The 25723-nt window shown below is 40.9% G+C and overlaps 1 long non-coding RNA gene across 2 annotated transcripts in view, besides 2 other annotated features; it reads right to left on the bottom strand.

Moving 5' to 3' along the window:
• The window catches only part of OTX2-AS1 (OTX2 antisense RNA 1), a 119303-nt gene that overhangs the window by 12303 nt on the left and 81277 nt on the right, over positions 1-25723 (bottom strand). The window contains exons 2-3 of one of the 2 annotated variants that reach the window (NR_029385.2): positions 21358-21466; positions 20661-20738 (exon numbers count right to left, since the gene is read on the bottom strand). The exons of the other annotated variant lie outside the window; for it this stretch is intronic. This is a non-coding gene — a long non-coding RNA (OTX2 antisense RNA 1). The remainder of the gene's footprint in view (positions 1-20660; positions 20739-21357; positions 21467-25723) is intronic. 2 annotated transcript variants of the gene reach the window in all.
• Positions 14908-15834: an enhancer, noted in NCBI's record as "OCT4-NANOG hESC enhancer chr14:57369890-57370816 (GRCh37/hg19 assembly coordinates)". NCBI's record gives its function as "activates a minimal SCP1, AML or CMV promoter by ChIP-STARR-seq in primed H9 embryonic stem cells {active_cell/tissue: H9 hESC(primed)}" and the evidence as "EXISTENCE:reporter gene assay evidence [ECO:0000049][PMID:30033119]".
• Positions 23486-24051: an enhancer, noted in NCBI's record as "OCT4-NANOG-H3K27ac hESC enhancer chr14:57361673-57362238 (GRCh37/hg19 assembly coordinates)". NCBI's record gives its function as "activates a minimal SCP1, AML or CMV promoter by ChIP-STARR-seq in naive H9 embryonic stem cells {active_cell/tissue: H9 hESC(naive)}" and the evidence as "EXISTENCE:reporter gene assay evidence [ECO:0000049][PMID:30033119]".

Raw genomic sequence — 25723 nt, 5'->3', positions numbered from 1 at the left:
CAGCTCTAGGAAAAAGCCTGTGGCAGGTACTCTCGAACACAGGTTACTTCGAATAAACATACACACCTAGCTGGCGAGATTACAGGTGTGTGTGTGTAAAAACTGAAACTATCATGGAGAAGCTCATTATGACAAATTCCAAGTGAGTAGTATGGAAAGTAAATGCCACACATGTTCATAAAAGAGAGAAATCTGTGCATGTTGAAGAAGCAGGTGGGCAGATCAGCATGTGCTAAGGTGAGTCTTGGATTAATCTGAACATCAAATTGGCCAGTAACATGCTTATAAACTTTAAAAGCTTCATGAAAAGTAAGACTTTTGAATAGACAATAGGAATACTTCCTTATTATGTCAAAGTATAATACCTTTCTATTTAATGATAATATTTCTATATTAAATTATATTCAGTTTCTGATTCCTAAAGATTTCCAAGTCATTTTTTGCTGCCTTTTGGATCTCCTATTATAAGGCTAATTATTCTTCATATCATGAACAGTTACTCTACCATCTTACCCTGACATACAGTGACAATCTTCCCTTCTCGCCTTCCACAAGTGGAGAATACCTCTTCATCCATTACCCTGAAGAGAAGGTTGACATATTCTTTAATCTACTTACTCCTTATCAAACCCTCCTCACCTTTATCCCACAACTCATACTAGTAAAGTCTGTGCCCTCCTTGATTGACACCCCTTTTCCTGTTGTCACTACCATCAGCCATTCTCCAGCACATTGATTCAGATTTCTCTCCATCCTATCTCCTGCCATTCCTCAGTGCAACCTCTAGATCAGGGGTCCCCAAACCCCCGGCCACGGACCATGGCCTGTTAGGAACTGGGCTGCACAGGAGGTGAGTGGAAGGTGAGTGGCAGGTGAGTGAGCCTTACGGCCTTAGCTCCGCCTCCTGTCAGATCAGTGGCATTAGATTCTCACAGGAGCGTAACCCTATTGTGAACTGCGCATGCCCGGAATCTAGGTAGTGTACTCCTTATAAGAATCTAAAGCCTGATGATCTGAGGTGGAACAGTTTCATCCCAAAACCATTGCCCCCAACCCACCCCCATATATGGAAAAATTGTCTTCTACCAAACCAGTCCCTGGTGCCAAAAAGGTTGGGAACCACTGCTCTGGATTGTGTCTCCTGCCATTCCTGTGCAGCCTCGAGATCTTTTCAGCCTCCGTAACTTTTACTGCTACTCCTCTGTTTTCTTTTTTCTTTTCTTTCCCCCCCTTTTTTTTTCAGAGACAGTGTCTCGCTCTGTTGCCCAGGCTGGAATGCAGTGGTGCGATCTCGGCTCACTGCAGCCTAGATCTCCCTGGTCTCAGGTGATCCTCCCACCTCAGCCTCCCGAGTAGCCAGGACTACAGGAAAACACTGCTACATCTGGCTAATTTTTATATTCTTTTTAGAGATGGGGTCTTGACATGTTGCCCAGGCTGGTGTTGAACTCCTGGGCTCAAGCAATCAGTGCACCTCAGCCTCCCAAAGTTCTGAGATTACAGGTGTGAGCCACTTCACCCAGACTGTTTTTTTTACATTCATGCCGTGAATCTTACTTGTCAGAATCATGTTTACAATATATCTTAATTTGTCAAAAGAAAAAACACTTTGGAGACATCTGCCATCACCTGTTGTAGGACTAAGTATCTAAGAGGAGAGGAGGAGATAAGTTATTGTACCAATCATAAGTAAATGTCTTTCAACATATAAAACAAATGCATATCGTAGAGCCTCCTGAACCAATGATTGTGCAGTCTTTGTGAAAGTTACCAGTGAAAATGTTGTTAATGTCATATCCTTCCAAAGTCAAAGATGCTTGGGGACTGTCCCCCCAAATTTTGAACTCATGGGCCAGGCATGGTGGCTCACACATGTAATCCCAGCACCTTGGGAGGCTGAAGTGGGCAGATCCTTTGAGGCCAGGAGTTCAAGATCAGCCTGGGCAAAACAGTGAGACCCTATTTCTACAAAAAGAAATTTTAAAAATTAGCCTGGTGTGGTGGTGTGGGGTGCCTGTGGTCCCAGAAACTGGGGAGACTGAGGTGGTAGGATGACTTGAGACTGGCAGGTCAAGGTTGCAGTGATCCGTGATCATGTCACTGCACTCCAACCTGGGTGACAGAGTGAGAACCTGTCTCAAAAACAAATTAATTAATTAATTAATTAAAAAATAGAGCTCGTGTAATTTTTTATTAGTAATGACTTAGTAACTACTAAAATACAATTAGTGAATATTAAAACAGAATTCTTTATTAGTAACTACTAAATGCAGTTGTTTTATTAGAGACTTCTGAAATAGAATTTCTTTTCATATGTCTAAAACCATAAATGTGGGTCTCTGGCCATTTTAAACTGTTGCATGGTAAATGCCAGGAGGACTGAGAAGATTTGAGTTTAATTTCCAAGTCTGCCACTTAATGGCACTGTGACTTTTGACAAATAACTTCATCTCTCAGTTTTCCCATCTGTAAAGTAGGGATAATTATAACATTAGCTCAGGTCACTGAATGTTATTAAAAGAGAAAACAGATGTGAAAATAGCTTATACATTTTAGAAGCACATAGCAAATGCTAATTGCTGTTATTTCTTTTCTTTCCTTTTTCTCTTTTTCTTTTCTTTTCTCTCTCTCTTTTTTTTTTTTTTTTTTTTTTGGAGACAGAGTTTCGCTCTTGTCACCCAGGTTAGAGTGCAATGGCACAACCTCAGCTCACTGCAACCTCCACCTCCCGGGTTCAAGCAATTCTCCTGCCTCAGCCTCCGGAGTAGCTGGAATTACAGGCACCCACCACCACGCCCAGCTAATTTTCGTATTTTTAGTAGAGACGTGGTTTTGCCATGTTGGCCAGGCTGGTCTCGAACTCCTGACCTCAGGTGACCTGCCCACTTTGGCTTCCCAAAGTGCTGGGATTACAGGCGTGAGCCACCGTGCCTGGCCAAATTGCTGTTATTTCACAATATTGCACCGACAAATTTAATACTGTGGCTAAGGCTGTGGGCTCAAAGTCAGACTGCTTGGATTTAATTCTTACTTTCCTTCCCCAGTTACTAGATATGTGACCTTGGAGGTCCTTTAATTTCTCTAAGACTCGGTCTCCTTACTAAAAAGGTATAGTACCTATTGAGTAGGATGTACTGAAGCTCAAATGAGGTAAGGAAAACAAAGCACTTATAGCACTATCTGGAAAATTGCAAAATACAGAGTCATACATCATGTAACGACATTTCAGTCCATGACGGACCACAGTATAGTTTCGTAAGATTATGATGGAGCTGAAAAATTCAAGACTCAGTGATGTCTTAGTCGTCATAATGTCATAGTGCAACACACTAACATGTTTGTGGTGATGCTGATGTAAACAAACCTACTGCATTACTAGTTGTGTAAAAGTACAGCATGTGCAATTATGTATGTACATAATATTTGATAATGATAATAAATGACTATGATACCAGATTATGCATTTACTACATAAATACTATACTTTTTATTGTTTATTGTTTATTGTGTACTATACTTTTTATTGTTATTTTAGAGTAATCCTTCTACTTAAAAAAAGAAAATTCAACTATAAGACAGCCTCAGGCAGGTCCTTCAGGAGGGATTCCAGAAGAAGGCATTGTTGTCATAGGAGATGACAGCTCCATGCGTGTTATTGCCCCTGAAGGCTTTCCAGTGGGACAGGATATGGAAGTGGAAGACAGTGATATTGATGATCCTGACCTTATGTTGGCCTAGGCTTAAGTGTGTGTTTGTGTCTTAGTTTTTAACAAAAATGTTAATAGAATAAAAAAAAAAACTTCTAAAAATCTAAAAATAGAAAAACACTTACAGAATAAGGATACAAAGAAATATTTTTGTACGGTGAGTGCTAGGATGTTTGTGTTTTAAGTGTTATTATAAGAGTCAAAAAGTTAAAAACATTTAAGTTTATAACGTAAAAAAGTTACAGTAAGCTGAGGTCAATTTATTATCAAAGAAAGAAATTTTTTAAATAAATTTTAGTGTAGCCTATGTGTACAGTGTTTATAAAATCTAGAGTAGGTACAGTCATGTTCTCAGGCTTCACATTCACTCCCACTCACTCACTGTCTCAGCCAGGGAACCTTCCAGCCCTGCAAGCTCCATTCATGGTAAGTGGCCTATGCAGGTGTGTACCATTTAAAATCTTTTATACTGTATTTTCACTGTGTTTTTTCTATGTTTAGATACATAAATACTTACCATTGTGTTACAGTTGCCTACAGTATTCAGCACAGTATGATACTGTACAGGTTTATAGCCTAGGAGCAATGGGCTATACCACAGAGCCTAGATGTAGGCCTCACTCTCATGTAGCATATGTCTTAGTTGCAGTAAGGAAGGTGTGTAGTAGGCTACACCATCAAGGTTTGTGTATGTATACTTTATGATGTTTGCACAATAACAAAATTGTCTAATGATGCATTTTGCAAAACATATCCCTGGTGCTGAGCAATGCACGACTGTGTGAATAGATGTTCATTTACTCATTAATTTACTCAACAAATATTTATCGAGTGCCTACTCCATGCCTATTCTAGAACTGAGAATACAATACAGAATACAAGACAGAAAAAGCCCTTACTCTGATGTAGCATATATCTTAGTTGTAGTAAGGAAGGTTTTATCATTATTGCAAATAACAAAATAAATGTTAAACATATCTGGAGGTGATAGCACGCTATAATGAAAATAAAACAGGGCAAATGTTATAGAATAACTTAGAATCTCTATTATTAGCCATCAGAAGCTGATTTTTCCCACCACTGCTCTTCCTTTTAAATCTACATTGTGGAGTTGTTTCTTTCTCATGCACGGGCTCCACTTTGACTTAGAGAGATGTAAACACACTTTTAAGACATTTCCCCTCCTAATGTCACATAAGAGCAATAACACTCTCACACAACATTGGAAATCTAAGCATCATATAATGAAGCCATGGCTTGTAGTCACAGAAATGAACAGAGAACTCAGTGTAAACGCTCTTAAACCTATATAGGCTTTGGAAAGCCAATCTTTTATTTATGGTACTCCAACATTTTCCAAATTAACACATGTTTATGAAACAATTACTACATGAAAGTCTCTATAAGAGACATAAAGTGATATAAGAAAATAGTTCCTATTGTCAAGAAATTAATAGTCTAGTTGGAAGAGAAAATATAATAATATGTTTAAAGTTAAATAACCTAAAAGACTTAATTTACATTTCAAAATAACAATAAAAATCACTTATTACCAAATAAACTATTTGAATAGGTCAGTTCAAAAGAAAACTCAAAAGACAGAATAACATTTCTAATTTGGATAGCCAGGGAGGTTTGCATTTGAAAAACTGGGAGAAGACAGTATTTCAAGTGGAGAGTATAGTTTAAACAAATGTCTGTTGACAAGTGAGTGTAAATACATTTCAAGTAGAATGAGTTTAACTATTTGCCTATAGAAAAATTCAGAAGAAAAGGTAGAAATGTGGCTAAAACACAAAAGACTTCAGGATATTTAACAAAAAAAAAAAAAAAGAGAAGATACATGCAGTAAAAATCTGCACCTTGAGAATGTTTATTTTGTCATCTGTAATGGTAAACAAAGAAAGAAAGTGAAAAGAAAAAGTAAGTAAAGGGGAAGGAAAGGGAAGGAAAAATATATTAGGAAACTATTGTACATAATAAGGTGGAATATTGTGTTGCCATGAAATGGTCATTGTGCAGACTTCGTGGAAATCTTGAGAAATGTTTGTGATGTCATGTTAAGTGAGCAAATCAAAACTATGATTTGATTCTATCACTGTGATTCTCCACTACCAATTAAAAATAGATCTGTATGCATGTTAATGAAGAAGAAGTTTACAAAGGTTGTTAACAAAGAATTAAGGGAAACTAACAAGGAACATTATGGCACCACTGGGCTGGCATCAGTGAAGGGACAAAACCACCTGAGACCAGAGGGGCACAGGGAGTGGTTATGGGAAACTGGAAAGAGCTGTGGTGGAGGAAAGTTCATCAACAGAGGCTGTGGCCTTAGGATGTGGCCTCATGCAGCCGCTGCCTACCAACAGACCAGCAGAGAGAGAGCCAGGAGAATAAATACCCTCATCCTTCCCCTGACTCTGATCTCTTGCTGATGCCGCCTATAGATAGACTGTCATCAGGCCAGGCGCGGTGGCTCACGCCTGTAATCCCAGCACTTTGGAAAGCCAAGGCGGGCAGATCACCTGAGGTCAGGAGTTCAAGACCAGCCTGACCAACATGGAGAACCCCGTCTCTACTAAAAATACAAAAAATTAGCTGCGCATGGTGGCACATGCCTGTAATCCCAGCTACTGGGGAGGCTGAGGAGGAGAATCGCTTGAACCTAGGAGGTGGAGATTGCGGTGAGCCAGGATCGCACCATTGCACTCCAGCCTGGACAACAAGAGCGAAACTCCGTCTCAGGAAAAAAAAAAAAAAAAAAAATAGATGTCCTCAAAAAGAAACCCCCAGCAAAGAAAGCCAGCAAGGAAGCCTGAATACCACAGTCAAAGAGGTCTGCTTCAGCCTCTCTCATATGTCACCTATGCCTATTTACTATGTTAACACGATGCTTCAAATGTTTCATTCAGCGCGAACAGCACAGTGAGTGACTGCATCATCAATGTTTCCATAGTATATTATATATAATCATTCATCCCTCAAATACCAAGTTACAGAGCTAAGGACCGTTTGCAATGCTAGTCCCTGGGGAAACAAAGATGAATGACTTCTGCCCTAAAAGCTCACAGTCTAATGCAGGAAAACAAACATGCAGAAAAAAATGTGGTGAATATTATCTTAGAAGCACACGGTGGTAAACACAGGAGTACAATGGTAGGCTAGAGAGCTCAGTTTGGGCTTAGAAGTACAATGGTAGGTTAGGAACAGGAAGGAGGAAGGAGGCAATTCTGCCTAGAAGTTTCAGGGAAAGCGTCAGAGAAATTACTTTGGAGGTGAGTAGTAAGGGATAAATAGAGGTTTTCCAGAATTGGGAAGTGGGAGAAGAGCATCCAGATTGAAAGTGTAGCTTGTGCAAACATAAAGTGTTTGAAAATTAGGGAAAGTGGAGTTTGAATCATTGCAGAGGAAATCGAGGAGGGTTAGGTGGAGACAGACAAGGGATAAGGCTAGAGAGATAGGTCATACAGAGAGTCAGGTGATAAGTAGTCCCTGAGTGACAGACTCACTCCTGGGTCTTTTCTAGGAAGCCTTCCATCACCCTGAAGGCAGGACGAGCCACCACTGTCCTTTGCACACTCTTCATGCATTTCTCACAGCAGTCACTTTATTATGTTGAAATTGTCTGTTCATGTTTTCATCTTTCCCGCTAGATCGTAAGTTCATGAAGGGCAGAAACTTTTATTCACCTTTGTGGTAACACATGGTCTGGCATATGGTAAGCAACAAAGAAATGTTTGTTGAACTAAGGGAGCCTGAAAAGGTCTTTCTGTTATAGAATGTGTAGTGAGGGGGTCTGCAAGCTTTTCTTTTCGGCCCCACCTAAGTACAGGTGCTGGCTTTTCCTTTCTCTGCTTCCCTCTCCCATGCCCCATCATTCCACCAAGTATCCAAAGTTCCGCCTGCCATCTTGAGGGCTATGAGTATTCCAATGTTTTGAAAGGGAGGTTTGTACTCAGCAGATAAATCGAAGAGAATAGCTGTTGTGCTTCCATTTCTTTGGGATTTTGATGTATCGAAAATGGTGAAGCAGAAAATCTAACTGCCTCCATGGGTGGGGGGCGGGGGTGGGAGTTGAGTATTAGGAGAAGATTGAAGTCCTGAGTGATGTAGAACCTGAACCAGGTTTGAGTGGTAGGTAAAAATGTGAGTAGCTAATGAAAAAAGGGAAAGGCATTCTCAGTCCTGAATAAGCACAATCATCCATTTTCTCTGCTCTTTACCCTGCGTTATTCAGTGATGCTAAAAATGTATGCAAACTCGTGCTGATTCCTTATTGTTGCTCCCCATGTAGTATAATGCCTGGAACATTTTAAACACCAGTTTCAACATGGATTGAATTGACTAGTTATAACCCAGCTCAACTCATCTCTCTTCTACCAGCCTACTAAGGAAAAGACCCATTTAAGCTGTTTCCTAAAAAAAGATAAGCTGTCATATAAACAGAGACTGTAAACAATAAGTGTAAAATTTATCTCTTGCTTAGAACTGGATATAACCACATCAACATGCGCTGTTAGAAGTGCTTTACAAAACTGAGCTTTCTGAATTTCCTCCTTCATAAGTTGCATAATACTTCTACTATGCTCAAGACTATGTTTGTATAGGATGTTCATTGCATAAGGACATGCAGCTGAGGGGATACCTGAGAGCTCAAATCCAGTACAAATTCTATGCAATAAGCCGTGCCTGTGAGTTGCATAGATCCAGAGAAGTCAGCTTTTTAAATTTGTACAATAGTTTATGTGGGCTAGCAGTGCCCTCTCTATACTTCTTTGCTTCTCTTCCTATTCCCTATTCTCACTGGAAAAGGTGGACTGAAATCTTGATGACGATACTACCATTACCATCTTCATTACATTTCTGGTACACTGGTGTCCTCAAAAGATGGTACCAAGGCAAAAGTTATGACCTAAGTCTTTATTAGAAGGTGTAATGCCAGAGTTTTAAGAGTGAGGGAGACTGGACATGGTGGCTCACGCCTGTAATCCCAGCACTTTGGGAGGCTGGGGGGGTGCTGATCACGAGGTCAGGAGTTCAAGACCAGCCTGACCAACATGGTGAAACCGCGTCTCTACTAAAAGCACAAAAATTAGCCAGGCATGGTGGCACACGCCTGTAATCCCAGCTACTCAGGAGGCTGAGGCAGGAGAATTGCTTGAACCTGGAAGGCAGAAGTTGCAGTGAGCGGAGATCGCACCACCGCACTCTAGCCTGGGCAACAGAGCGAGACTCCATATCAAAAAAAAAAAAAACAGACTGAGGGAAAAGGGGAATTGAAGCATAGAAGAAAGAAAAGCGGGTAAAACATGGTAAGTTGACCACAACTTCATAAGAAAACACAGTTGGCCATGCACAGTGGCTTGTCCCTGTAATCACAGCACTTTGGGAGGCCAAGGCAGGAGCATTGCTTGAGCCCAGGAGTTGGAGACCTGGACAACATAGCAAGACCTCATCTCACAAAATAAAAAAAATAAAAAAAATAAAGGAAAAGAAAACACAGTCAGTTGTTTAGTCCTAGGGGACATCTTCCAGGCAGGCTACTATGGAGCTCCCAGCTGTTCCCTGTCTCTCATTGTCTGAATCTGGCCCTATGCAGCCAATACACTCCTCAAATGCACTACCCGGCTTCATTGCCATCTGCTGGAGAAGACAAATTCCATACCCCAATATGTGTGATCCATCTGGATCCACAAGTGATGGAGAAGCTACAGCCTACGTGGGTGCAGTAGGGTCAGGTCTGGGTGCTGGAGCTGCCGTGCCTCCTGTTGGACCAGATGTAGGGCAGGCCGAGTGAGAATTGAGTAAGCTTTAGAAGCCTTGGTAGTTTTAAAAGACAATGGTAGTGACAATGGTGGTGACCAAGTTCCATACCAAGCAAGCAGAGGAGGCCCAGGAGGCACTCAAGCCAAGCAAATCTGGGGAGGCCCAGAAATCTGGTCTGAAATACCTACAGTCAGTGAATATTGCTTTAAAAAAAAAAGGATTAAAAATCTCATTCCTTGAGCCCCGGATGTCAAGGCTGAAGTAAGCCATGATGGTGCCACTGTACTCCAGTGGGTGACAAAGCAAGACATTTTGTCTCAAAAACAATTAAAAAATAAAAACAAAAAATCTTATCCTTTCTTGATGCTTGTTAATATGAAAATAAAGCAAAATTCATGCTTTTGATGGACTCATTCCCACAAGAAAGGTTAATCATCGTATGAATTTTCGTATGTTTACATGGACAAGATATCAATGATAAGGAAAATGGGCCCAGATGTGCCATAGCCATATGAATGCATACAAAAGTGACTTATTATGGTCATCCATCCATTGGCACATGCAAATAGCTTTGTTTTAAACAATGACAGTCATTGTGTTGGGATTTACATGTAGTTGAGATTCACTTGATCATTCAGAACCAATTTATTCCTAAAATATTATGACAAATATTATATCACATAATCGATGGGCTCATAAAACAATGTCTGCTGCATGGTTGCTAGCTTTGTATTTAAACCTAGGGTAGAATACATAGCATAGCACAGGATAGGATAGGATAGTTAGAAGAATAATTTGCCAGCCAAGTGTGGTGGCTCATGGCTATAATCCCAGCACTTTGGGAGGCCAAGGTGGAAGCATCCATGAGCCCAGGAGTTCAAAACCAGCCCATCCCTATAAAACTAAAAAATTTAAAAAACTAGCTGAGTGTGGTGGTGCACGCCTGTATTCCCAGCTATTCAGGAGGCTGAGGAAGGAGGATCACTTGAGCCCAGGAGGTTGAGGCTCTAGTGAGCTGTGTTCCAGCCACTGCACTCCAGCCTGGGCAACAGAGTGAGATTCTGTCTCAAAAATTAAATAAATAAATAAATAGCCTGTTTTATAAACATGGCTTTAACAAAATATAAGTTTATTTCTTTTTTATGTAAAAGTCAAGGTGCAAGCAATTCAAGGTTGCTATGACAGTTCCTTGGTCATCTGCAACCCAGGCTGTTCTCACTTTCCACTTTGCTCACAAGGGTGGCTTTTGTCTGCATAGTCCAAGATGGCAATTCAACCAACACATCCACCCCTAAGGAACTGGTCCAAGTAAACAAACGGAGGAGGAAGAAGAAAAGGAGTGTCCTTTTTCTTCAATATCACTTCTTAGAAGTTGCATACACCATTCTCTTCATATTCCATTGTTCAAAACCTAGTCATCTAGCCACATGTAGCTATAAAAAAGACTGGGAAATTTTGTTTTTTTCCTAGATAATCTTGTGTACAGATAAAAATCTGTGACTATTGCCCTACAAGAAAGGGATCTTACATGACAACTGGCCTTTGTGCCATAAGCATGGTTTCTTAGTTGAAGACCACACAGAGCTCCCAAGAGCAAGCTAAAAAAATTACAACTACTACATTTGTATCTCATAAAACTCATGTTGCACACTGATCAAGGATGAAAAACAGTATTTTAAGTGTCTGCTCTATAACCAGCATTGCTTGGAAGTGTTATATACAACATAGATACAGGATACTACCCCTGCTCTTAAGTATACCTTCCCCACTCATTGGGGAGACAAACTTGAATTACTAGGATAAACTCAAGATAGCACATAATTTATTTTACGTGTATGTTACAATAGTAAGACCTTATGAAGTAGGAAACAATGTTTTATATGGACCTATGTTCTTCAACTTCAAGAAATCCTCTATTCCCCTAACTCTTAGAATGCCCTTCCACCAGATCCTTACTGGCTGGGTCTTTCACAACCTTCAGAAAAAGGCTCAAATATCACTTCCTAAGGGTGAAACTATTGTAACTAAAATAGGATTCTTTTCAAGCCCTTGAGGGCAGGGACATTGTCTGTCTTATTCATCACTGCGTCCTAGAGACCAGGGGTCCCCAGCCCCTGGGCCACAGACCAGTACCAGTCCACGGCCTGTTAGGAACAGGCCGCAGAGCAGAAGGTGAGGAGCTGGCAAAGAGCAAACCTTCATCTGTATTTACGGCTGCTCCCCCTCACTTGCATTACTGCCTGAACTCCACCTCCTGTCAGATCAGCGGTGGCATTAGATTCTCATAGGAGCACGAACCCTATTGTGAACTGCGTGTGTGCGAGGGATCTAGGTTGCATGTTCCTTATGAGAATCTAACTCCAGATAATCTGTCAGTGTCTCCCATCACCCCCAGATGGGACCATCTAGTTGCAGGAAACCAAGCTCAGGGCTCCCCCTGATTCTACATTATGGTGAGTTGTATAATTATTTAATTATATATTACAACGTAATAGTAACAGAAATAAAGTACATAATAAATGTAATGTGCTGGAATCATCCCCAAACCATCCCCCCATCTAGTCCATGGAAAAATTATCTTCTGTGAAACTGGCCCCTGATGTCGAAAAGGTTGGGGACCACTGCTGGTGGAGACCTATAATGGTGCCTGGCACATGGCAAGCATTCATAAATATTTGTTGAATGATAAATACATACGTGAATGAAGAATTCCCCTAAAGGAAAAGCCCATTGCTTTTATCAAGGGTGGCTTTTGTCTGCATGGTCCAAGATGCAATGCAGATGAGTATGACCATGAGGATATTGTTTCCAATTCCACATAGCCTTTCTTTTTATTTATTTATTTATTTATTTATTTATTTATTTTTGAGACAGAGTCTCGCTCTGTCGCCCCAGCTGGAGTACAGTGGCGCAATCTCGGTTCACTGCAAGCTCCGCCTCCTGGGTTCACATCATTCTCTGGCCTCAGCATTCCAAGTAGCTGGGACTACAGGTGCCCACCATCACAACCGGCTATTTTTTTTTTTTTTGTATCTTTAGTAGAGATGGGATTTCACTGTGTTAGCCAGGATGTTCTTGATCTCCTGACCTCATGATTTGCCCACCTCGGCCTCCCAAAATGCTGGGATTACAGGCGTGAGCCACCACGCCCAGCCTCACATAGCCTTTCAATTATAATCCTTTTTCTCCATCTCAGTCACATACCTCTTCTGAGTCTCTCAACAACAATTCTGAATCATTTATCCTTGAAGCCCCCAGACTTCATCTTCTACTTTAGAACACACACACACACAAACGCCAGCAGTCAGCAGTCAGAACCTCCATCTTCCATTCTGGGTCATCTGAATATAGCCCTATCTTCAATTATTTCCAAACTCAGACCTAAACAAAACTGTCCTCACATCCTGCAGTCCTTAAGCCACTGCTCTGTCCCTCTCCTTCATAATCAAGCTTCTCAAAGTAGTCCAACATCTCTCCTTCCTCATCATCCATTAACTTTTCTCCCGTGGGGATGATGTTCTGACTCCAGCCTTCATCATGCCAACCAAACAACCATCACCAAGACACCAGTGTTTCCAAATTGCCATATTCTAAGTTGCCAGCTTCTTACTAGACCCCTTTGATGCAGCCCAACTTCAAAATTGGCTTTGCACAGGAGAGACTTCACAAACGAGCAAACAAAGCAAAGCAAAGACAAGTTTATTAGAGAAACAGAGTACAGGAAAATGGCTGCTCTATAGACAGAGTAGTAGCAGTAGCAGTAGCAGTAGTAGCAGCAGCAGAAGCAGTAGTAGCAGCAGCAGAAGCAGCAGCCCTCGTAGATTGCTGGCTAGCTATATAATGGCTATTCCTTGATTATATGTTAAATAAAGAGTGGGCTATTTGTGAACCTTCTGGGAGTTCCTGGAACCGAGGCTACCTCCTTCTTTAAGCCATATAAGGTAACTTCCAGGAGTTGCCATGGCATTTGTAAACTGTCATGGCACCGGTGGGAATTTTTTTTAGCATGTAAATGCATTATAATTAGCATACAACTAGCAACGAGGGCAACCAGAGGTCTCTTTCATTGCCATCTTGGGTTTAGCTGGTTTTGACCAGTTCCTTTGTTGCAAATCGTTTTGATCAGCTCCTGTTTTGAGCAGGATCTCGTGACCAGTGCTTGGAAAACATGTCCTGCTGATCTCCTACCTAACCATGGGTAGTAGTCATTCTCTTGTCCCTTGACTTCCATGACAACTCTCTTTTCATTCTCCTTTTTTTCCTCTTTCTTCCCAGTTTCCTTTGCTGGCTTTTCCTCTGTCTACCCTGTTCATAACGGTATTCCCTAAGATCTTGTTCTCAGCCTTCTTCTCTTATTCTTCATATTGTACGTGTTCTCCATAGACAGTCTCATCTACTTCCATATCATTAGCAGCCACCTGCTCATTTATTTTGATGAATGACCTCACTACTAAACCAGGTGTCCAGACTTTTAGCGGGTGGCTGCTAATAGTCTGACAACTCCCAAAAATCTCTAGTCCACAAGTTTCAGGTATATATATACACATATATATAGTATGTGTGTGTATAACATAAATACATATATACGTGTAAATATACTATGTAAATACTTGTGTGTATATGTATATATGTTTAATTGCCTAGTTGACATCTGCACCTATGACACTTCTAATTCAGGATGTCCTAAATTAAATTTACTATCTGTTATCCCCACCCCACCCCTAACCTGCATTCCTTCTTTATTTTGATTAATAATCTCCCTACCAAACCAGGGGTCCAAACTAGAAAACTTTCAGTCTTCTTAGTGTTCCTCTCTTGCACCAGCTCACTAAGTCCTTTAGCCTCTTCTCCTCCAGTGCTACTCTCCCCACTGCCAGACCATCAGTCCCTAAAAGTAGGATTTATCCTATTCATCTTTGAGCATCCAGAGATAGTAAAGTTATCCAAAAAGGTAGTAAGGAGGATGAGGGGGGAGAGATTACATAAAATAATTTTGATAATCAGTTCTTAAAGATACTCTTTCATTCAAAAATATGTATTTGGCTTTTAACATACATCAAAAGATTTATGATTTACTTAAATTATCACCTCTTTTGTAAATGAATATTCTTTGTCTTACCAACTGGCTATAGCAGGCATGTGTATTAGTCTATAAAATCCAAACTCTTGGCCTTCTAATTTAAAATTGTGACTAGCAAACACTATTGTTACCATTTTACAGTAAGGTTCAGGATACAGCCAACAACCAGAAACCATTCATGAAAATGTTCAGTGAAAATTCTGTCTTTACAATGTGTGCATTGCATTGTTTAATTAGAAAGGAAATCTTGAAATATACCTGTTCCTGCAAAGTAATTCTGTCCACAAAATGGGCAAAGGGAGCGATTTCTCTTTTTGTTCACCAACCTGTAATTTGGTGGGAGGGGTTTGGGCTATTTTAATTAATTATTGCAAATTAAATATTTCAACAACTTGAAGTGAGTCCTTAAAAGAAGGAAAAAGCATACATAGCTCCCCTCTGCTAAAACGGCAGTTGATGATAGAATTCCTACTGTCTAATCTATAAAAGTAAAACCCGACTTTTCAGCTAATTCCATTTTCTTAAACACACACACAAAAACAGTGCCACCCCAGTTAGATCCTTTAACATGCACGTTAATTTCTACTCACAGCTGTGGCAATTAGAAAGTGTACTTAATGGCGTGTCATGTTAATTGTTTTCAGAGTTAACCAATTTCTCTATTTAATTGTCAATTGATTAACCTATTGAAATGTTAAGTGACTCAGTTTCCTTCCAGAGTAAACAGCAGCAGCATATGGTAGCTTCATCAGCCGAAGGCAGCACTCATTTGCTTGGATTCAATGTGCTGGTATTTTTCTACACCTCCCTGAGCTTTTAATTAGATGAGGCGATGTTACATGTATTTGTCTGCTGGAAAGGTTATCAGTGCCATAGCTGACCTGCAGAGGCAAGGTTGAGTCTAGCAGCTTTAATAGAAATGGTTTTCAGCTATGACTGTTGTACTTGATTGCATTGTGATGTTAATTAACTCAAGACTGCTTTCTTCAGAGTGTGTGTGTGTGTGTGTGTGTCTTCCCGTCTTTCCTGTAGCACTAACTATGCAATGAGATGTTTTCTGTCATATATATCCACTTATTAAGTACTCATTGGATCCTAATAAGCATGCAAATAGTCAAGAGTTTCTTTAGGCTAATACCACACTACTCAGATTGTGATGCCATTAAATACATACAATGATCTTTGCCTGTAGCACATATTTCAGAGAAAAAAGCTAGCTCCCTTTGGTAGAATTTTGCTCCTTTATTTTCATGGTGTGTCATGCCGGGGGATCATTACAACTATAAAGTAAAAAAAAACTTTTTTTTTTTCTATTTAAGCACAGATGATGCCACATAGGGTTGAGAGAATCACACAGACTTGGATTTGGAGGCGTTTTCCAATGTTCTCGTTAAAGATCACTGTGTTTTAGTAGTCAAATCCTGGTGGTTTTAGTAGTAGATCCTGGTGGTGAGCTATTAACTCAGCCTTGCACACTGTTTTGTGATTCGGAATGTGTGTCGCTTGCATGTGTGTTTTTACTGTACCGCACTATTGTTTAATTATGAGACAATTGCCTCAACTGAGCCAGCATTATCATCCTTGATAATGTTGGTAGCAGGCAACTGAGACAAAATGATTACAAACCTATGTTGTGTTCAATAGTTCTTTAGAGGATTTCTCTCTTCATAGTTCTGGCTCATTCATGTTTGATTCAGCACATTTGTTCTTTAAAAAAGGCATAGCTTAGAAGAGTTTCAGGGTGGGTTAATAACTCAACTGAAAATGGCTGCTCGCATTGTAAAAGCTTGTTCCTGCAGTTGCTTGGGGCTTTCTTCAGTTTTGCCGCTCTGCAGCTTCGGCCCAGTTGGTAAACAGCTTAAGTCCAGACATCTTTTCATTCTCTGAGCAGCGGATTGAAGTAAAAATGCATATAAGTGGCGACTGACTGGCGCTGGCCTAACAATAGCCTGTAACATTATGCAAGGGTATTTACATAGGAATAAGGCCTTACTAAAGGAGATGGGGCAATTAATGGTGTGGGCCACACATATAAGGAAAGTTTGTCCAATCCTTTCCTCAATAAAGATCTTTTGTAAAGTGCTATGGAAACTCATAGAGGCCTCAAAGAGATTAAGGGTGGGACTCTCCTAGGACTTTCAAATATATATGTGTGTGTGTATGTGTGTGTGTGTGTATGTGTGTGTGTGTAATCTTTAAAAAGCTAAATGGTATTAAATAAATGCTCAGGAAAGAATATGAATTCCTTGTTTTGTTTTGATCATTTTAGATGGTTTCTCCAACCTGTAAAAGAAGGCAGTTCAGGCTGGGCGCAGTGGCTCACGCCTGTAATCCCAGCACTCTGGGAGGCCGAGCCTGGTGGATCACAAGGTCAGGAGTTCAAGACTACCCTCACCAAGATGGTGAAACCCCATCTCTACTAAAAATACAAAAATTAGCCAGGCGTGGTGGCGGGCGCCTGTAATCCCAGCTACTCGGGAGGCTGAGGCAGAGAACTGTTTGAACCCAGGAGGCGGAGGTTGCAGTGAGCCGAGATCGCACCACTGCACTCCAGCCTGGGAGACAGAGCAAGATTCTGTCTCAAAAAAAAAAAAAAGGCAGTTTATATTTTCAGTTCTCCTATCTTCCTTTTCCTTTTCTTGGTGATGTTTATTGAATAGAAAATCGTTCTGAGATAGTCAAGCTCTTGAGTTATCTTCCTTCCCTGTTTGAAATTGAAGCATCATCTTTAAAATATTTGAAAAGTTTTGCTGTCCTTCTTATTTCAAGTCATGTTTAAGAATGGGAGAAAAAACTGTCCGGTGGCCTGGCCTAAGGGGAAGGTCCCGGGATTTTCAGGAGTGTCAAAAGGAGGCCTTGCACAATGAGAATGAACAGCCGCAAAAACAAGCAGGGGCCCAAAAGAAAATGCAGGGTTGTGTCCTAGGAAAATGTGAAAACATTGATGCAAACCTAGCCCTTTTTTGGAATATATATCTTAATAGAATAAATATCTTGTCAGTCCAAGTAAAAATTAAAAAGTCAAATGCTTAAATTATTTTGAACATATACTGTCCCAGTATTATCCCCATTGATTTTTTTTTTTTTTGGTGTGTGTGGGGGTGGGGAGAGTGGGAAGTCCTCCTCATTGCACCCCCACCCCTAGCTCACCAATCGCAGCAGTGAAAGACAAATCTGGGGTAGATCTTTCACATGTTTTCATTCTTATCAAAGGCTCCCCATCTGCTTCTGCCCTTGGCCAGAGAGCATTACTGCTTTTATTTCTTTAGGTCAGAATATTTTTAATAAAGTATCATCAGCATTTAAAAAACAAGAGACAGAAGAATATTACTCTTTGGATAACCCAATCCATTTTTACATGTTTCGTGACCAATTAGAGCATCTACTATGTATTTTAAGCAAAACCCTTCAGCTTCTCTTTTTTCTTTTTAAATGTTTTATCTCACTCAGAGGACATTTTCAAATAAAGCAGAACTTTGGCAGGGAGTGTTCAAGCTCTGTTTGCACTTTCTGGTGAATCTGTTCTTACTTCCAAAGTTGCTTTACATCCCATTTCCTCATTTATAGTTGGTTCATGAAATTCATGTCCATATGGGATGAGGGAAATAAAATCTTAATGTGATAACGCATAAGCTTCGGGTGCCCGTGTGTGTGTGCGTGTGTGTGTGTGCGTGTGTGTGTGTGTGTGTGTGTGTTTGTGTGTGTGTGTGTGGCATACAGAGAAAGTGATTTCAGCTGCAGCCCTGTCAAGCAGGCAGAAATCAATGCCTCATTCAGGACTATTGATCAGTACTAAATTAATTAGACTCCAAGGCTTATGGCAGTTGATAAGACAACTTGTTAATTTAGTCAATGATAGTGTTTTCCCTAAAGCAGCAAATACCCTCTTCTTTAGAAAAGGCATTTCTAATAGTTGCTGCCAGTTCTTTTTCATTGTGTTCATCTTTCTGGTTTTCTTTTTCTGGGGAAAGGGTAGTTAGGGATAGGTGGGTTTGTGTGGGAAGGAGGGTGTTGGGGGAGCTCTATGGGCAAAGGAGTGCTGTAAAAATGTATATGCTGAGGCACCAGTCTGGAATATGCGTTAGCCCACTCCCATTTTGGTTCCCTTGCCTAACACTGTAGTTTTCGGATGAAAAGAATGCAGCAGCCAGATTATAAGCCGAGACCTTGATTTCCTATGGGGCTTTGGCCACGTAAGGCCACTCTAGCCCTACAAGGATGTTCATTTGGAAGGGGGCTACTTCCTAAACCTTCATTTAGAATTGACTGATACAGATTGCTTTTGCTTTTCATTGAAACCTGCAACAGTGATGGTCATAGTCAATAACAAAGACTTCGGCCCCTGTCGGTAATGCAAACTGTGAATGGAATGAAGGTATCCCAGAATGCCCTGAACATGGGGCAGTACTTCCTGCTGGCTTAGAAGGACAAAAGGACAAAGCCCGGGAGTGTAGGGGTCCCACCAACAGCTCTTGGAGGCAACAGCCTGCTATCAGCAGCACTCCAACCCTCTGAGAATGCTAATAAGCTAGTGAAGAGCTCAGCTTTCTTGCCATAATTCTATAGTGTGGTTGAGGACCCCATAGTGCTCACTAAATAAAGACAACTAATTGAGAATTTTTTGCACATTTTGCCCAGGGGACTTGTTGTTCATTCGATTCTTTGGGGAGAATGTACCCCTACTGACAAGAGTAGCTGATTGTTTTGGCAGCGTCATGTTACTCTTCCCTGGGTCTAAGACTGACTTTCGAAGTATGACAAAAATGTTTAATTTTGATTTTTTTAATTACGTTGCTGGGAATTATTTTAGATCTCAAAGAATAGGCGTTCCAGTGTTCATCTTAAAAAAAAAATCTTGGCAGAGTTTTTGAATTAAAGCCCCATTTTTTTCTTTCTTTCTTTTTTTTTTTTCCTTAAATTGTATTTTCTGTGGTGAGGCCTACATTTTTGTGTCTGCAGGTGACACGTTGATTGAAACTAAAATTAATAAATCAGCTGAAAAGCTCACACCTACAGCTCACAGCAGGACCTAGAAAACACATTTATAAAGGGAGCTTTATGCCCTCATATAAAGAAGGAATAAATTACAGAAGCACTTGTTGCCCTGGGACTTGATTTTGCTTTGCAATCTGGTATCTTATTTTTTGGAGGCTTATTGTTAATCAACAGGTTCCTGGTTGCTTTAGCAGGTGACTTTGCTATTAATCTCTTATTTGACCATTATAGCACATTAATGAGGAGGCTTCAAGATGTGGCTCTATCTTCTGACCAAGGAATTAGTTTAAAAGGTACACTTTTTACTCAATGGCTTGCAGTTAGCCACGTTGAGGACCAAATGCAAAGTAGCATTTTCTGTAGCTTGTGTAGTATTAAGGAGTGTTTTACTAACATATGTGTCTTACTGTGCTTTTCTTCTCTCCTACACTTATTTCTTCACCATGGAGGGCAATTATGGAACTTACCAGTCTCTGTTCATTTTTTTTTAACAAAATAGAATTACATATAAATGACAAAATGATATCCTTTCTTATTAATGTGCACTCTTATTTTAATTAAACAATGTCAGTGTTCTTTGGAGGTGTGTTCAGAATTAAAATGTATGATTTGGGAAGGCAAGAGGTTCAACATTTCTCACCAGAACTAGATTAATAAGTGTCATTACTAGTGCAGGAATTTAACCATCACGCTTCCCTTTAGAGGCTGAGGTAATTGGAAATGTTTAAGCTTGACAAAAGAAAGAAGTAAATATACCTATGGGGGTAGTTTAGAAATATAAAGAAGGACTGAAGATTTAAGTCTTAAATTTGTAATTACAAGGATCTCCGAAGCACATAATGGTGCAAAACGGCTCAGACAACCCCATATAGGAGAAGAACTGCTTTGTCTCCAGTCTGCAGATATTTCAAAGAACATTCTCTGGCACAAAATTATGATTATTACTCATTTCTTTTCAAATCTTCAAGACAATTAGGTTCACACCTCAAGTACCTATGCTGACTATCTTCTAAACCTAAGAAATGTCAGGTTTGTGTCTTTCTTACTTTTAACTTCACAAAATTAAGGGTTTCTGCCAACTGGGGTACATTTGATGTCATCGTCTATCTTACCTTCTCAGACTAAGTCCTGAAGTATCTTCATTCTGGAGGTTAAGGTCGACATCATCATCGCTTTCATTAAGAAATTTTCTGGTTAGGTTTCATGAGAGGAGGAGGCAAGTTAGAGGTATTAGCAAAAACGTTTAACGTTAATCGCAAGAATGCATGAGTGTGAACATTAACAGGGCCTTCAGACTTGACATTATTTTTGAAACGTTTGTCCTTAAAAATACATACCGACAAAAAATCATCAGGGTTATCCTGATGATATCCTAGGGCTGTAATATTAAGCCACCCTCATAGATGGGGACAACTGGAAATACTACTATCCTCTTAAAAGGGTTATCCAAGTAGCTAGCGTAAGCATTGGAATTACACTACCAAGCTGACCATCATAAGAAGCAGAGGGACCCTTATCTCCTCCAAAATCAACATTGCTACCTGGAATCTGGATCTTCATTCTAGATTTATTTGTTTGGGCCAATAAGCTAGAAGACTTTGGTGAGGGTTGCCCCCACCCACCTCCAACAACCATACACACACACATACACACAACACACACACACACACACACACACACACACAAATAGTTGACTGAAGCCTTGTTTTTCTTTTAAAAGTGGGGAAGAAAAAATTCTGTTCTGTACTGCACAATAACAAAACTTATGCCCCAGTGACACAAAATCAACTGGTTTAAGTCTCCATGTACCTTTGACAAGCCTGTAATCCCAGCTACTTGGGAAGCTGAGGCATGAGAATCGCTTGAATCTGGGAGGTGGAGGCTTCGGTGAGCCGAGATTGTGCCACTGCCCTTCAGCCTGGGCAACAGAGCGAGACTCCGTCTCAAAACACACACACACACACACACACACACACACACACACATCTTACATTAAAAGAAATTGAGGAAGTGGCTAGTGTATTCTAAGAACAGTCAGGTTAAATTTTTTTTTTTTAATAATCGTACTACAAATTATTAGAAAACAAAGTTTGTACCAGAGTGTTGGAGTCTGTGGCTGCTCTAGCTTGTGTTTACAATGAAAGAAAGTTACTGTTAGAGAACTTTCCCCTCCCCCAGTTCTCCCTCAAGTACTTCCAGCGAGGGAGGTTTTCAGCCCTTTTTGTCTTTTACAACTTAAGCAAGATCAGACACATTTCTGCAATGCATATGCAGATTTTGCCTCTTGTTACTTTCTCTAATGAGCGTTCACTTAATCAATTTGACAGTAGCCTTTATCCCCCAGGCCCCTCCGCCCTCCCTTTTTTTTCCACATCCACTAAGAAAGTTTTTAGGAAAAAAAAAAAGTGTTAACAGATTCGAGGGGGTGTTAGCGATGTGAAATGGTAGCTGGCCTAAGTGGAGTGACTCACAGGGCTTTACTTCTACCACTGGTTCTGTCCAGCTTCTGAAAAGAGGGAGCTGGTCTGCCGAGCTTATGAGGTAGCATGTATTTTCATCACCAGTAGAAAATGATTTTCCTTTTCAATAATTGAAAACGATTGTTTTTTGTTTGTTTGTTTAAGACAGGGTCTCACTCTGTCACTCAGGCTGGAGTGCAGTAGTGTGATCTTGGCTCACTGCAACCTCTGCCTCCTGGGCTTGGGTGATTCTCCCACCTCAGCCTCCTGAGTAGCTAGGACCACAGGTGCGTGCCACCAAGTTCAGCTAATTCTTGTAATTTTTTTTTTTTTTTTTTTTTTTTGCAGAGACTGGATTTTGCCATGTTGCCCAGACTGGTCTCGAACTCCTGAGTAATCTGCCCTCCTCAGCCTCCCAAAGTGCTAGGATTAAGGTGTGAGCCACCATGCCTGGCTGATTAATTGTTACAATTTTTCCAAACACTTGAGTATATGTCTCATAGCTTCATACCTTTATCTTGCCAAGAGCACTTTTAAAAAATTTATGCAAGAGACAATCTTGCTATGAGACACCAGGAACCGACCCACATTGTCATTCTCTCACCAAATTGCCCAACAGGGCATTCTAGATCATCTGAGCATTCTTGACCTTGTTCATTGCCTTTTCTGCCTGGGAGTACCAAGCACAGGGGCAGAGGGCAGGTAGGTTTAAATCTAATATTGTTCAATCTTCCCAGGGAATGGGTGATGATACCCAAATCCTGGGAATTCTCTCTCTCTCTCTCTCTCTCTCTCTCTCTCTCTGTCTGTCTCTTTTGAGATAGGGTCTTGCTCTGTTGCCCAGGCTGGAGTGCAATGGCACAATCATAGCTCACTGCAGCCTTGATCTCCTGGTCTCAAGTGATCCTCCCATCTTAGCCTCCCAAGTAGCTGGGTCAACAGAAATGTACCAGCACTCATGTTTTGTTGCTGTTGTTATTTGTTTGTTTTTTAGTAGAGATGAAGTCTCACTATCTTGCCCAGGCTGGTCTCCAAATCCTGAGCTCAAGCAATCCTCCCACCTTGGCCTCCCTAAGGGCTGGGATTACAGGTATGAGCCACGGTGCCCAGTCTTTTTTTTTTTTTTTTTAAAGAGCTGGGGGTCTCACCATGTTGCCCAGGCTGGTCTCCAACTCCTGGGCTCAACTAATCCTCCTGCCTCAGCCTCCCAAGTAGCTGGGATTACAAGAATGAGCCATCGTGCCCGGCCCCAAATCCTGGGGTTGTTGATCATATTCTCAACCTCAGCCTCAACCTGAATCTGCTACTGGGTGATATAAGACAATATAAGGTGCAGCTGCTGGGATTTAGCAGGTTTTCAAGAAACAAAGCCAAAGAAAAAGTGAGCTGTGCCCTTCTCTTGTCTGCAGCCAAAGTTTTCAGCCCTGGTGGGTAGAAGCAGCATTCATGAAGCTGGCTCAACCCCTCCTCTGGCCCCCTCCAGCAGAATTCATGTCCTTAAGCCTTAACCAGTTGTACAAATCACCCACTTGACTCTCTTTCACTTTATCAGGGCCAGAAAAGTTACCCTAACCGACGAAAAGAAGGAGAAGGTCCCCACTGACCCCTGCTCCAGCCCAGTTCTGTGCTGGATCAGTATAGTTTTGCCTTTCCTGATGACTCACCGTCCCGTCTCCCTGACTTCTATCCAATAGGCCCTACTGCCAGCCAATTGTTCACCTTTTAAGTTCAACTGGAAAGAAATTTGATTTTAAGACAATCAGGGTCTGGTCTGTATTCACAGGTTATCATTTGGGTTAGTTAGGTCTCTTACAGCCCTTTCTTTTCCTGTCTTTTTTTGATTCGAGGTGAGAGTCTATACAATCAGTTGCCTGCCTGCTCTAACTTGAGTGCCTGTTCTACTTAGGCAGATTCTGTTCTAACCATCGAGAACCTCCAGCTGAGAGTCCTCTGAGGTCTGGGAGGGAGTAACACTTCAGAGTTCACGGCCCCACTTCCACGAGGATACCTTGAATTCTAAGGGCTGCACTGACATTTCAAGAAAAGCTGAAGAATCTGAGTGATGTTATCTGAAATCTGCGCTCCCAGTTAGAAAAGCAGAATGGAGGCCTCACCCCAAGACCTATTTAACCAGAATCTGCATTATAACAGGATCACTAGGTGATTCATATGCACATTTCTTTAATCACCTGAGGGTCGGTGCGAAGGCAAGGATATAGAGTACCCTTGTGGATTCTTTAAATTCATTTTCTGTCTTTCATTCACAATCCCTAGTGAGCCAGAGAGGATGTGGGGTTTGGGTTGGAGGGGAAAGTGAGGTACAAAGAACAGTGGGAATCAGCAGGAGAGAAACATCTCCATTATTACTAACCTGGTTTTCTAAACCTTTTAGCATGTACACAATTAAAAGTTTGTACTGTTAGGTCCCTATTCCTCCTGGAAATGATTTGGAATTTGATCTGACTCTCCTCTCCTTTGTTTTGCACCTTGAAATGCCTTCCACTGTATTGCCCTTTTCAGTTTATTGATCTAGTTATTTGACCCTGATTTCTGCTTTTTACTTAAGATTCATTTCTATTTAGGCTTCATTCTAGAAAACGTGATGGTTTTGTTGGGCTAACAGAAGAACCTGCCACAGAGCATGCCCCTTGAAAAGGTTTAGCCATTCTTCCTCCAACATCTAACCATGGTTCCATGCCCTGAGCAGATGGGTGGTGAGTGAGAGCCATGAGCCGGGGTGGGAAAAACATTGTCTTCAAGGACATAGAGATCTAGATTTACAAATCTGGTTCCAACATAAGTAATACCTATGACCTTTGACAAATGATTTGACATTTCTCAAAGTTCTGGATCCTGCTCTGGGAAAAGGAGATGGTAACTAGAAGTGTCGTCGAGTTGACTAAAGAGGTAACATTTCAGTAATGCCTACAATGAAGTCAGGGTTTGGAAAATGAGAAGAACCTTTCCCTTTGGGCTTTCCTGGAAAGGCCTCCGAGGAGCTATTTAAAAAGGAAGCTTGGCTGTTTCACCCACTAGAGCAAAGGCCCTCCAACTTGCTAACGATTTATTTTGAGATAGGTGAGAATCCATGCTTCTTGGGTTGATGAATATAATAGACCCCGTTTACTAAACACCTACAATGTGACTGTCACATTTGGCATGTGCTTTAACCTTCCTGAATCATTCCCCATTCCCCCGTTCTGTGAAATGGAGATTATAATGCCTAATAGGATTGTTGTGGTTGGTTAAAGAGGTTGCTTTACATTCATTATCTCATTTGATCCTCCCAACAACGGGGTGAAATAGGCCTTACTTGCCCCCATTTTATAGCTGAGGAAACTGAGTTTCAGAGAGGTCAAGTAATTCACTCAGGATCGTAGAGCTGATAAATGAGAGCCAGGTTTTAAGCCTGCCTGTGTCTCTCTAATCCAAAATATATGTGCTCTCCATTGTACTTCCTATGCCTTAGAGAGACTGATTAGTGAAAGGGAAACTAGGAAATGCTTGAGTATTTCCAGTCCTAATAATATTCAGTTCAAATTCCAGGAAGGGCAGTGATTTTCAACCTTCTTAACTTTTCTGTTTTAAATCTGCAAAAGAAAACCTGCCACAGACCAGAAAGGAGAAAGTTCCCCCTAAATTGTGTCAATCTTTGCAGATAATAAAGCAACTCTTTCACTTCTGCAGGATTGTCAAGTGGGATGTCCAAACCTGAG

The sequence above is a fragment of the Homo sapiens genome, chromosome 14 (genome assembly GCF_000001405.40).
Source record: "Homo sapiens chromosome 14, GRCh38.p14 Primary Assembly".
Taxonomy (NCBI): domain Eukaryota; kingdom Metazoa; phylum Chordata; class Mammalia; order Primates; family Hominidae; genus Homo; species Homo sapiens.
The sequence above is the reverse complement of the archived record's forward strand: the minus strand, read 5'-3'. Positions and strand labels throughout refer to the sequence as shown.